The sequence below is a fragment of the Homo sapiens genome, chromosome 6 (assembly GCF_000001405.40).
Source record: "Homo sapiens chromosome 6, GRCh38.p14 Primary Assembly".
Classification (NCBI taxonomy): domain Eukaryota; kingdom Metazoa; phylum Chordata; class Mammalia; order Primates; family Hominidae; genus Homo; species Homo sapiens.
Genome location: NC_000006.12, coordinates 71,826,544 through 71,841,238, shown reverse-complemented (window position 1 = coordinate 71,841,238; position 14,695 = coordinate 71,826,544). Strand labels below are relative to the sequence as shown.

At 36.3% G+C, this 14,695-nt stretch overlaps 2 annotated features.

The window, feature by feature from the left end:
* Nucleotides 8,134-8,931: an enhancer, noted in NCBI's record as "NANOG-H3K27ac-H3K4me1 hESC enhancer chr6:72542011-72542808 (GRCh37/hg19 assembly coordinates)". NCBI's record gives its function as "activates a minimal SCP1, AML or CMV promoter by ChIP-STARR-seq in naive H9 embryonic stem cells {active_cell/tissue: H9 hESC(naive)}" and the evidence as "EXISTENCE:reporter gene assay evidence [ECO:0000049][PMID:30033119]".
* Nucleotides 8,932-9,730: an enhancer, noted in NCBI's record as "NANOG-H3K27ac-H3K4me1 hESC enhancer chr6:72541212-72542010 (GRCh37/hg19 assembly coordinates)". NCBI's record gives its function as "activates a minimal SCP1, AML or CMV promoter by ChIP-STARR-seq in naive H9 embryonic stem cells {active_cell/tissue: H9 hESC(naive)}" and the evidence as "EXISTENCE:reporter gene assay evidence [ECO:0000049][PMID:30033119]".

Sequence of the window (14,695 nt, the reverse complement as noted above, 5' to 3'; positions counted from 1 at the left end):
TATTTCATTGCTAGTGGGAATGCAAAATAGTACAGCCATGTTGGAAGACAGTTTGGCAATTTAGTTTTAAAGAAACTAAACACACTCTTTCCATATGATCCATAAATTGCCTTGCTTGGTATTTATCCAGATTAATTGAAAACTTGTGTCTGCATAAAAACTATCACATGAATGTTTATAGGAGGCTTATTTATAATTGCCAAACCTTGGAAGCAACTAGGATGTTCCGTAGCAGGTGAATGAATAAATAAACTTTGTGACATTAGGACAATGGAATATTCAGCATTAAAAAAGAAGTGATTTATCAAGTAATGAAACAAAATGCAGGAAACTTAGATGGATATTACTAAGTCAAAAAGGCCAATCTAAAAAGGCTACATATTGCATGATTTTAACTACATGACATTTTGGAAAAGGTAAATCAATGGAGAGAGTAAAAGTATCAGTGGTTGTTGGGTGGAGGGACAGATCTATTTTTAGTGCTTAAGTTATTCTGCATGATACTATATTGGTGAGTATATGTCATTACACATTTGTTAAAGTCCATAGAATGTACGATACCAAGAGAAAATCCTAATGTAAACTATGAAATTTGGGTGATAATTTTGTGTCAACATAGGTTCATAAATTATAAGAAATGCTCCATTCTGGTACAGAATTTTGATACTGGGAGATGCTATGTTTATGTGGGGGAAGGGGTATGTGTGAAATCTCTGTACCATCCTTCAATTTTGCTGTGAACCTAAAACTGCTCTAAATAATCAAGTCTTTTTTTTTTGAAAAATGGGCAATGTACTTGAATAGACAATTCTCCAAAGAAGATATGCAAATAGCCAATAAGCACATGGAAAGATACTTAACATCATTAGTCACTGGGGAAATGCAAATCAAAACCACAATGAGGTCTCACTTTACACCTACTAGGATGGCTGTAATAAAAATAATAAAAAAGAAAATAACAAGTTTTGGCAGGAACATGAAGAAATTGGTACTCTCATACATTACTGGTGAAAATGTAAAATAGTGCAGCCACTGTGGAAAACAGTTTGGCAATTTACCAAAAAGTTAAACAGAATTACATATGATCAGACAATTCCACTTCTAGGTATATACCTCAAACAATTGAAAGCAGGGACTCAAACAGATATTTGTACGTCAGTGTTCATTGCAGCACTATTCGAATTAGCCAAAAGATGTAAATAACACAAGGGTCCATTAACACATGAGTAAATAAACAAAATGTGTTATATATGTATAGTGGAATATTATTCAGCTATGAAAAGGATAGAAGTTCTGATACATGCTCCAACGTAGATGAACTTTGGAAACATTATGCTAAGTGAAATGGGTGAGTCCCAATAGGACAAAATATTGTATGATTCAATTTACATGAAATATCTAAAATAGGCAAATTCATAGAGACAGAAAACAAATAAGAAGTTACCAGGGGCTGGCAGGAGTTGTTTTTTAATAGTCACAGTGTTTCTGTTTGGGATGATAGAAGAAGTTTTGGAAACAGATAATGATGATGGTTGTACAACATTGTGAATGTACTTAGAACACTGAATTGTATAGTTAAAATGGTTAAAATCACAAATTTTATGTAATATATATATTTTTACCACAATAAAAATGTTTTAAAAAAGGAATTGCTAGATATGAGCATTAGAGAAGGGGGGAAGTTGCTTTTTTCCCTTTCCTGAAAAGGTTATGTAACTTTATTTGAAGGAAGTGAATCCTTAGCAAGAAATGGTTCAAAGGAAAGTTTTCTGAGAAATACATATATACATGTGTATGTATTTTAAGCATATATATGTATTTTAAGCATGCATATATATATACACACACACATATGTGTATATATACATACACACACACACACACACACATATATATATATGCTTAAAAGATGTTTTCAATAACAATTAGGCAAAGGAATAATTTCCAGCACAGAAAAATTTCCTAAAGCCTAAGTAGTTTTCACTTTAAATTGCCTTCCCGTCTTCATAAAACACCTAAGACTAAAACTACTCTTGAATTATATAAAGCTTTGTTTCTTCTTAATATGGCTCGGATTGTTTATATCAATAAGGCTCTATAATCAATACCATGCAAGAAGCTATTTTTAAAAATTATTTGATTGAAAAAATAGTGAAATGTTCAAAATTATCTTTTAATGCCTACCCAATTTATCTGACAGTTTACCTGTTCGACACAAAAATCACTTAGCAAAGCCTGGAAGAGAAGAGTTTAATAACCTCACTGAGGCATTGATTTTCACCAGAGTAAAGGTAGTTTTAAAAATAAGTGTTGTATAATTTGAGATATCATTGTTTTTATTTTCCCCCATTTTTCTCCCTTTTTCTGTAAAGAAGCCACTAGCTGTTCATGCCCATGAGAAACTGTATGACAGAGTCAAAATCAAAATAACATGGAAGTCTCTCTGATTTTTGCTTTCTGAAAGCCTAGGCTCTTAGGAGAACTTAGAACATTTAAAGACGATTTAAAAGGGAGAAACGAATTTGAAGACATAGACAGAATGTCTAGAAAAACCAAAGACCCAAGATTAAAAAGAGATTTTCGCAGCTGGTTAGGTAGAACCAAGAGAGAGGACTATGGTTCTGAAGATAAAAGAGAAGCTATATCTTCCTTCCTAAGCAGTACTTTTGGTCACAGACATTCTTGCAATAGAGCCGTAGGTCCCAGTGCACAACCACTGAACCTGAAAAGGAAAGGCGGATATGGGTGATGTTGGTCTCTATAGCATCTGCTAGATCTATGATGGAGAACTAATGTCCCTCAGCTCACTCTCTACCAATGTCTTGGTTCTGTCTCTAAATGGACAGACGTTCAGTTTTCTACTAGATCAGTAAAACAGTAGCTTGAGGTTAGATACTAATTTGAGTTATAAAAAATGAAAAGAGACTTGCACAGCTAAGTTGGTAGACTGTGATTTATGCTTGCCACAAAAGCAAGCATATACATGCCCTACTTAATTACAAAGCTGCATAATTTCTTTGGTGGCGACTCCGATAAATTAAAACCTGGGAATGCACACAATAATCTTTTCTAAGGAAATATGGAGCATGTGGCAGGAATAATCAGAAATTTTCTGCCTGGTTTTAAGGTAGAAATAGATTTCATAATCATGATGTCACAATTACATTTTACTTCAGGAAAACGGAGGATTTCTAGCAATAAACTATTTTGCTCTCTTTATTCACTCAGCAGATAATTATTCAATACTGCTGTGTAACAACCATTGTTTCAGGTTTTATGATACCTGATAAATAAAACAGACAAATATCTCGCCAAAGTGGAAAGGGAAACATAATAAACAATAAGTGTAATAAATAACAAAAAATAGAGTATATTAGAATGTAGTAAGTGCTATAGAATTCAAGAATGGATGTTTGGGTAGATTGTAATTTTAATAGGTTGGCAAAGGAAGACCTCTTAAGAAGAAGGTGAAGGAGTTAGCCAAGTATAAACATGGAAGTTAGTCTGATTATACCCAATAAAGCTTTAAAGTTTGTAAGAAATAGAGCTCAGGAAGTTTCTGTCTGTATCTGGTTACTTTGATGAACATGCGAAGTTTGTTGCAAGTGACACTGGTTATAAAAGCATTTCCAAAAATATTTTCAAAAAGCATAAAGGTACTCTAAGAGATTCGTCATATATTTTTGGCACCAAAAAAGGATGCTCTAGGGTCATTAAGAATGAAGTAGAAGACCTAATGTATTAACGGCAAAATATGGTGGTTGTATTCCAATAAAACTTTATTTATAGTCACTTAAATTTTAATTTCAAATATTTTCAAGTGTCATAAAATATTATTATTCTTTTGATCTTCTTTTTCAGTCATTTAAACACATCAAAGCCATTCTTGGCTTACCAGTCATATAAAAATAGGCAGACTGGATTTGGTCTGAGGCCCTGATTATGCCTACCATTGCTCAAAATATTGAACCTCAGGACTTGGAAAAACGTCCTTATTTTGTAAATCCTTTACCAAAAGACCAACCACAGTCTGGGTCACTGAATTGACCTAAACCAGGCTCGCTGATTCCTGCCAAGCCAGCACCAATGTGCGTTGTCACAAGCATTGTTCCCTTCCAAAGGGCAATGCCTTAATATAGGCAGACTTACTAGAGGAATAAGCAAAATGAAAAGAAAAAAAAGCAATGCTCCCAGCCTATGTGTCAGTATAAGCTTATGCTAAACAAAAAGAAGTAAATAAATAGTTTTTAGGCTCAAAGTTAATTGTGTATGGCTATATGATTTACTTTTTAAAATTTTAATGAAGGATTTTATGTTACTTTGTTTAGATACCATCTCAATGTGTTATTTCTAGCTATTGTGTTCTTCTAGATTTCTGATTTTGCCACTTAACATGTTAACCATTCTCCTAATTCTGCTGCCTCCAGATGTGCTAAGCATGACATGTTTATCTTCAATTAAGTTGTTGATGAAATATTAAACAGGGCAGAGCTGAAGACAGAGCTACCTGAACCCTGTAATCAAGACCATAAATCAACTTCACCATTTATTTCCACATGTCTACAATATATTCATGAGAGACTTTGTCTAATGCCTCAGAATACACTGTATTTTCATTATGTTTAAAAGGAAATAAAATTAAATTGGCTGATAAGACATGTTCTTAGAAAATTCATAATGTTTTTAGTGAACTCCTTTTATCAGTTGTCACTAGCCATATGCCTAATAAATAGCTGTAAAATTTTACTGAGAATTTATGTTAAACCCATGTTATTTCCAGTCAGAATTTACTGCTTTCTTGAACTTTGAAAATTAAAAGCTCATTCATCTCTCATATTCTTAATCCTCTTTTTTGATCCACAACTCCTTATAATGACTAGCATTGATTATATAATCATATCTGCAAGTATTTTCTGTACTTCGAAATGAAATTCATCAGTGCCTGGAAACTTGAACTCATCTAAAGCAGCTAGGTATGTTTTTTCTTTCAATAAAAAGCAGCTGATACAGCCCCAAATTCTTCCAAATCTGCCTGTAATTCTCAACGTTTTGTCTGGGTCTCTCATCGGCTTGCCTTTTCCTTTTCCAATCTCTGGAAAACTGCCTCCTCCATTTATCAGAGTAATCTCAAAATTTAAAAGGTTAGAGTCTTTGAAGTTTTTAAAGTTTAACATATTTCCTTCCACATGCCATATCAAGTATGTTATAGAACCCATAGAGAAAAACTCATTTTAGTAGAATTGGAATCTAATTTTATTAAAAACTGGACTTTGTCATGGGGAACATAGGGTAGAAGAATCTCTGCTTCATCTCTAGAAACTCTGTGGTAATCTCTTAGAATCTCACAATGCGAAAACTCCTGGTAAGTTTTAAGCTCAAAATGTTGACGTGCATTACCTCCCTAAACATCAGTCTCTGTGCTTCTGAGCTACCATGAGCATCTGAAGTTCCTGATCTGTCTCCTGACAGATTGTGGTTCAAGCAAGTGTCCAATATAGAAACATGAAAACTTCAAACATTTAGACTAACCTTAATCGGCATAGTCTCAAGGATTTATAGTATTAAGACCAAGATATGAGGTTTTAAATCTATACTCTTTCAGATGGGATCTCACATTTTCTTTTTTTTTTCATTTACTATAGGTATTATAAATATGTCACTCTATACATTCACACTAGGTATTGTAAATATATCATGTCAGATCAGCTTCTCAAATGTTTGTTCACACTAAAGACTCCAAATGATATAAGGCAGAATTTGGTTGCCATGGGAAATGTGAAAGCAGGAAACCAAATGCACCTAAACCCTGCATTAAGAAAGGGGGGCAAGGTGCTGTGGCTCACACCTGTAGTCCCAGCACTTTGGCAGATCATTTGAGCCCAGGAGTTCAAGACCAGCCTGGGCAACATGGCAAGACCTCATCTCTACAAAAAAGAAAAAAAGAAAGAAGAGCAAAGAAAAAGAAATTAGCTGCCCATGGTGGCACATGTCTGTAGACCCAACTACTCATCAGGTTGAGGTGGGAAGATCTCTTGAGTCTGGGAAGTCAAAGCTGCAGTGAGCTATGGTCACACCAGCCTGGGTGACAGAAGACAGAGAGAGTCCCAGTCAAAAAAAAGGACAGCCTGGCACACTGAGACTGCCCTGCCCATGAAATTTAGATGCACAGTTTCTGCCAAATGCTGACACTGGAGCAGAAGAATCAAGAACTCTACTCTCTGCTCACAAAGTATTGTCCTGAATAACAAGAAATAGCAATCTATTGCAGAGGGATGGAGATAGCTTGGGAGAGACCTGCTTCAGTGGCACAGAAGATGGAGGAGGAACAATGAAAACCATTCTCTGGTCATCCTGATCTCAGTCAAGTCATAAGATATCAGCAATTTACCATTGGGGGAATTTGAAGCCTATGAAACACTGAAAGTAATTATGGCAACAAGAAAACTCAACCCTGGTTTAAAACTACTGACCGGATCTACTTAACCCCCACATTAAAGGCCTAAAAGTTGAAGAGGCATACCCATTTGGGACATATATACAGTTTTCTCATTTTGACTGTTTTGTTACACATAATATCTGTCACTCAATCAAATACCATAAGATAGATATAAAAATAAGAAGGAAGGGCCCATTTTTCAATACATGAAAGAGTCAACAGAATCAGACCCAGAGATAGGCCAGACATTGGAACTATCTAAAATGGACTTCAAAGTAATTATGATGAATATGCTAAAGAATCTAGTGGAAAAGGTAAAATACATATATGAACAGAAAAGGAGTTTTAAGAATCAAATGAAACCTCTAGAAAGGAAAACCATGATAACAGAGGAGTTTTTTGAGGGGCTTATTTACAACCTGATTACAATAGAGAAAACAATCAGTGAGCTTGATTATAAGTCAATAAAATTTACTCAAACAGAAAAAAATTTAAAATTAGAATGGGACAAAAAGAACAAAGCATGTTGGAGCTATGGGTCAATATCAAACTAGCATACTTTTAAATGGAGTCCCAAAAGGAGAGAGAATGAGAAAAAATGATGGAAGAAATATCTAATGAATAATAGATGAGAATTTTGCAAAAGTAATAAAATACAACAAACCACAAATTGAAAAAGCTCAGAAAATTCTAAATGAAGTAAATATAAATAGAAACTCATGCAGACATATCATAGCCAAACTGCTGAAATCCAAAGATAAAAATAAAATATTGAAGGCATCCAGAAAAAAATAGATATTTTGTATAGTAGAACAGAGAATGACAGAAGACTTGTATTCAGAAACTTATATAAGGCCCAACACACAATGGTGCAACATTGTAAATTACTGACAGAAGAAAATAAAATTTGTCAACCTAAAATTCTAGATCCAACAAAAATAAATTTCAAAAGCTTAAGTGAAATAAAGCATTATTTAGAAAAGCAAAAAAAGAATTTATTGCCAACAGAAAAGGACTGTTTTTAAGAGAAATGCTTCAAAACTAAAGAAAATGATTATATATAGAAATCTGAATCTACACAAAGGAATAAAAAAACTGAGAATTATAAAATTGATAATAAATTTTACAATGCATTTTGGATCTTTTTAATCCCTTTGAAAGATAATTGACATATTAAAACAAAAATATTAACAATGTATTATGGATTTACAAAATTTTTACAAGTAAAATATATGATAAAGATTGTACAAAGAAAGAGAGAGAGGAAACTTAATGTAACTAAAAGGTCTTTATGCTATATGTAAACTGACACAGTATTAATTGCAAGTAGACCATAATATGTAAAAGAAAATAAAAGTATATTTTAATTCTGAAGCAACCATTAAAAATATAAAACACAGAAGTATAACTAGTCTATAAATGAAATAAAAGGGAATCATAAACATAATCCAAAAAGGAAGCAGAAAAAGAGAAAAGGACAAAGAAAATTAGATCAAAATCACAAATGATAGCCTAACAATAGGTTTAAACCCAATTCTATAAAATTTACATTAAATGTAAATGATCTCATCATGTCCATTAAAAGGCAGAGATTGCCAGACTTGATAAATATGTAAGTCCCACTTACTAATGGTCTACAATAAACCTACCCTAATATAAACTTATACATAGGGTGAAAGTAAAAGAATTCAAAAAAGATATACCATCCAAGCCTGATCAGAAGAAATCTGGAGTGGCTTTATTAATATCAGATGAAGAAGACTTTAGAACAAAGAGTAGAAGCAGGGTTAAACAGGGATGTTACATGATGAAAAGAGGGTCAAGCCAAGAATGAAAAAAAATTCTAAATATGCACACATTTAATAACAATACATCAAAATAGATAAAACAAGAACTTCTAGAAATGAAAGGAGATATAAACATATCCACAATTATACCTGGGGATTTAAACATAACTCATTTGGTAATTGATATAAGTAAAAAAAAAGAATATAGAAAATTTGAATTATACTATTAACCATCATGAATGAATTTACATTTAATTTACATTTATAAGACTTTTTTTGGAGAGGAGGAGCCAAGATGGCCAAATAGGAACAGCTCCGGTCTACAGCTCGCAGCATGAGCGACGCAGAGCGGGTGATTTCTGCATTTCCATCTGAGGTACCGGGTTCATCTCACTAGGGAGTGCCAGACAGTGGGCGCAGGTCAGTGGGTGCGTGCACCGTGCGCCAGCCAAAGCAGGGCGAGGCATTGCCTCACTCGGGAAGCACAAAGGGTCAGGGACTTCCCTTTCCTAGTCAAAGAAAGGGGTGACGGACGGCACCTGGAAAATCGGGTCACTCCCACTGGAATACTGCGCTTTTCTGACGGGCTTAAAAAATGGCACACCACGAGATTATATCCCGCATCTGGATTGGAGGGTCTTACGTCCACGGAGTCTCGCTGATTGCTAGCACAGCAGTCTGAGATCAAACTGCAAGGCAGCAGCAAGGCTGGGGGAGGGGCGCCCGCCATTGCCCAGGCTTGTTTAGGTAAACAAAGCAGTTGGGAAGCTCGAACTGGGTGGAGCTCACCACAGCTCAAGGAGGCCTGCCTGCCTCTGTAGGCTCCACCTCTGGGGGCAGGGCACAGACAAACAAAAAGACAGCAGTAACCTCTGCAGACTGAAATGTCCCTGTCTGACAGCTTTGAAGAGAGCAGTGGTTCTCCCAGTACACAGCTGGAGATCTGAGAACGGGCAGACTGCCTCCTCAAGTGGGTCCCTGACCCCTGACCACTGAGCAGCCTAACTGGGAGGCACCCTCCAGCAGGGACACACTGACACCTCACATGGCAGGGTAATCCAACAGACCTGCAGCTGAGGGTCCTGTCTGTTAGAAGGAAAACTAACAAACAGAAAGGACATCCACACCAAAAACCCATCTATACATCACCATCATCAAAGACCAAAAGTAGATAAAACCACAAAGATGGGGAAAAAACAGAACAGAAAAACTGGAAACTCTAAAAAGCAGAGCGCCTCTCCACCTCCAAAGGAATGCAGTTCCTCACCAGCAACGGAACAAAGCTGGATGGAGAATGACTTTGACAAGCTGAGAGAAGAAGGCTTCAGACGATCAAATTACTCTGAGCTATGGGAGGACATTCAAACCAAAGGCAAAGAAGTTGAGAACTTTGAAAAAAATTTAGAAGAATGTGTAACTAGAATAACCAATACAGAGAAGTGCTTAAAGGAGCTGATGGAGCTGAAAAACAAGGCTCGAGAATTATGTGAAGAATGCAGAAGCCTCAGGAGCCCATGCGATCAACTGGAAGAAAGGGTATCAGCTATGAAAGATGAAATGAATGAAATGAAGCGAGAAGGGAAGTTCAGAGAAAAAAGAATAAAAAGAAACGAGCAAAGCCTCCAAGAAATATGGGACTATGTGAAAAGACCAAATCTACGTCTGATTGGTGTACCTGAAAGTGATGGGGAGAATGGAACCAAGTTGGAAAACACTCTGCAGGATATTATCCAGAAGAACTTCCCCAATCTAGCAAGGCAGGCCAACGTTCAGATTCAGGAAATACAAAGAACGCCACAAAGATACTCCTCGAGAAGAGCAACTCCAAGACACATAATTGTCAGATTCACCAAAGTTGAAATGAAGGAAAAAATGTTGAGGGCAGCCAGAGAGAAAGGTCGGGTTACCCACAAAGGGAAGCCCATCACACTAACAGTGGATCTCTCGGCAGAAACCTTACAAGCCAGAAGAGAGTGGGGACCAATATTCAACATTCTTAAAGAAAAGAATTTTCAAGCCAGAATTTCATATCCAGCCAAACTAAGCTTCATAAGTGAAGGAGAAATAAAATACTTTACAGACAAGCAAATGCTGAGAGATTTTGTCACCACCACGCCTGCCCTAAAAGAGCTCCTGAAGGAAGCACTAAACATGGAAAGAAACAACTGGTACCAGCTGCTGCAAAATCATGCCAAAATGTAAAGACCATCGAGACTAGGAAGAAACTGCATCAACTAACGAGCAAAATAACCAGCTAACATCATAATGACAGGATCAAATTCACACATAACAGTATTAACTTTAAATGTAAATGGACTAAATGCTCCAATTAAAAGACACAGACTGGCAAGTTGGATAAAGAGTCAAGACCCATCAGTGTGCTGTATTCAGGAAACCCATCTCACGTGCAGAGACACATATAGACTCAAAATAAAAGGATGGAGGAAGATCTACCAAGCAAATGGAAAACAAAAAAAGGCAGAGGTTGCAATCCTAGTCTCTGATAAAACAGACTTTAAACCAACAAAGATCAAAAGAGACAAAGAAGTCCATTACATAATGGTAAAGGGATCAATTCAACAAGAAGAGCTAACTATCCTAAATATAGATGCACCCAATACAGGAGCACCCAGATTCATAAAGAAGTCCTGAGTGACCTACAAAGAGACTTAGACTCCCACACATTAATAATGGGAGACTTTAACACCCCACTGTCAACATTAGACAGATCAATGAGACAGAAAGTCAATAAGGATACCCAGGAATTGAACTCAGTTCTGCACCAAGCGGACCTAATAGACATCTACAGAACTTTCCACCCCATATCAACAGAATATACATTTTTTTCAGCACCACACCACACCTATTCCAAAATTGACCACATAGTTGGAAGTAAAGCTCTCCTCAGCAAATGTAAAAGAACAGAAATTATAACAAACTATCTCTCAGACCACAGTGCAATCAAACTAGAACTCAGGATTAAGAATCTCACTCAAAACTGCTCAACTACATGGAAACTGAACAACCTGCTCCTGAATGACTACTGGGTACATAACGAAATGAAGGCAGAAATAAAGGTGTTCTTTGAAACCAATGAGAACAAAGACACAACATACCAGAATCTCTGGGACACATTCAAAGCAGTGTGTAGAGGGAAATTTATAGCACAAAATGCCCACAAGAGAAAGCAAGAATGATCCAAAATTGACACCCTAACATCACAATTAAAAGAACTAGAAAAGCAAGAGCAAACACATTCAAAAGCCAGCAGAAGGCAAGAAATAACTAAAATCGGAGCAGAACTGAAGGAAATAGAGACACAAAAAACCCTTCAAAAAATTAATGAATCCAGGAGCTGGTTTTTTGAAAGGATCAACAAAATAGACCACTAGCAAGACTAATAAAGAAAAAAGAGAGAAGAATCAAATAGATGCAATAAAAAATGATAAAGGGGATATCACCACCGATCCCACAGAAATACAAAGTACCATCAGAGAATACTACAAACACCTCTACGCAAATAAACTAGAAAATCTAGAAGAAATGGATACATTCCTCGACACATACACTCTCCCAAGACTAAACCAGGAAGAAGTTGAATCTCTGAATAGACCAATAACAGGAGCTGAAATTGTGGCAATAATAAATAGCTTACCAACCAAAAAGAGTCCAGGACCAGATAGATTCACAGCCGAATTCTACCAGAGGTACAAGGAGGAACTGGTACCATTCCTTCTGAAACTATTCCAATCAATAGAAAAAGAGGGAATCCTCCCTAACTCATTTTATGAGGCCAGCATCATTCTGATACCAAAGCCAGACAGAGACACAACCAAAAAAGAGAATTTTAGACCAATATCCTTGATGAACATTGATGCAAAAATCCTCAATAAAATACTGGCAAACCGAATCCAGCAGCACATCAAAAAGCTTATCCACCATGATCAAGTGGGCTTCATCCCTGGGATGCAAGGCTGGTTCAATATACGCAAATCAATAAATGTAATCCAGCATATAAACAGAACCAAAGACACAAATCACATGATTATCTCAATAGATGCAGAAAAGGCCTTTGACAAAATTCAACTGCCCTTCATGCTAAAAACTCTCAATAAATTAGGTATTGATGGGACGTATTTCAAAATAATAAGAGCTATCTATGACAAACCCACAGCCAATATCATACTGAATGGGCAAAAACTGGAAGAATTCCCTTTGAAAACTGGCACAAGACAGGGATGCCCTCTCTCACCACTCCGATTCAACATAGTGTTGGAAGTTCTGGCCAGGGCCATTAGGCAGGAGAAGGAAATAAAGGGTATTCAATTGGGAAAAGAGGAAGTCAAATTGTCCCTGTTTGCAGATGACATGATTGTATATCTAGAAAACCCCATTGTCTCAGCCCAAAACCTCCTTAAGCTGATATGCAACTTCAGCAAAGTCTCAGGATACAAAAACAATGTACAAAAATCACAATCATTCTTATACACCAATAACAGACAAACAGAGAGCCAAATCATGAGTGAACTCCCATTCACAATTGCTTCAAAGAGAATAAAATACCTAGGAATCCAACTTACAAGGGATGTGAAGGACCTCTTCAAGGAGAACTACAAACCACTTCTCAATGAAATAAAAGAGGATACAAACAAATGGAAGAAGCCTCCATGCTCATGGGTAGGAAGAATCAATATCGTGAAAATGGCCATACTGCCCAAGGTAATTTACAGATTCAATGCCATCCCCATCAAGCTACCAATGTCTTTCTTCACAGAATTGGAAAAAACTACTTTAAAGTTCATTTGGAACCAAAAAAGAGCCCGCATTGCCAAGTCAATCCTAAGCCAAAAGAACAAAGCTGGAGTCATCACACTACCTGACTTCAAACTATACTACAAGGCTACAGTAACCAAAACAGCATGGTACTGGTACCAAAACAGAGATATAGATCAATGGAACAGAACAGAGCCCTCAGAAATAACGCCACATATCTACGGCTATCTGATCTTTGACAAACCTGAGAAAAAGAAGCAATGGGGAAAGGATTCCCTATTTAATAAATAGTGCTGGGAAAACTGGCTAGCCATATGTAGAAAGCTGAAACTGGATCCCTTCCTTACACCTTATATAAAAATTAATTCAAGATGGATTAAAGACTTAAACGTTAGACCTAAAACCATAAAAACCCTAGAAGAAAACCTAGGCATTACCATTCAGGACACAGGCATGGGCAAGGACTTCATGTCTAAAACACCAAAAGCAATGGCAACAAAAGCCAAAATTGACAAATGGGATCTAATTAAACTAAAGAGCTTCTGCACAGCAAAAGAAACTACCATCAGAGTGAACAGGCAACCTACAACATGGGAGAAAATTTTTGCAACCTACTCATCTGACAAAGGGCTAATATCCAGAATCTACAATGAACTCAAACAAATTTACAAGAAAAAAACAAACAACCCCATCAAAAAGTGGGCGAAGGACATGAACAGACACTTCTCAAAAGAAGACATTTATGCAGCCAAAAAACACATGAAGAAATGCTCATCATCACTGGCCATCAGAGAAATGCAAATCAAAACCACTATGAGATACCATCTCACACCAGTTAGAATGGCAATCATTAAAAAGTCAGGAAACAACAGGTGCTGGAGAGGATGTGGAGAAATAGGAACACTTTCACACTGTTGGTGAGACTATAAACTAGTTCAACCATTATGGAAGTCAGTGATTCCTCAGGGATCTAGAACTAGAAATACCATTTGACCCAGCCATCCCATTACTGGGTATATACCCAAAGGATTATAAATCATGCTGCTATAAAGACACATGCACACATATGTTTATTGCGGCATTATTCACAATAGCAAAGACTTGGAATCAACCCAAATGTCCAACAATGATAGACTGGATTAAGAAAATGTGGCACATATACACCATGGAATACTATGCAGCCATAAAAAATGATGAGTTCATGTCCTTTGTAGAGACATGGATGAAATTGGAAATCATCATTGTCAGTAAAATATCGCAAGAACAAAAAACCAAACACCGCATATTCTCATTCATAGGTGGGAATTGAACAATGAGATCACATGGACACAGGAAGGGGAACATCACACTCTGGGGACTGTGGTGGGGTTGGGGGAGGGGGGAGGGATAGCACTGGGAGATATACCTAATGCTAGATGAGGAGTTAGTGGGTGCAGCGCACCAGCATGGCACATGTATACATATGTAACTAACCTGCACATTGTGCACATGTACCCTAAAACTTAAAGTATAATAATAATAAAAAAAAGAAGTTATGGAAAAAAAAATAATAATAATAATTTAAATAATAAAAAGGTTCAAATTCTGGAAAATCAACTAGATCAATCTATGTAAATAACTTGCTCTTAAAAGTTTAGTATGATTTAAATTTATGTACTAAAATTGTGTTATAAAATTATAATAAAAATCTAAATTTGTG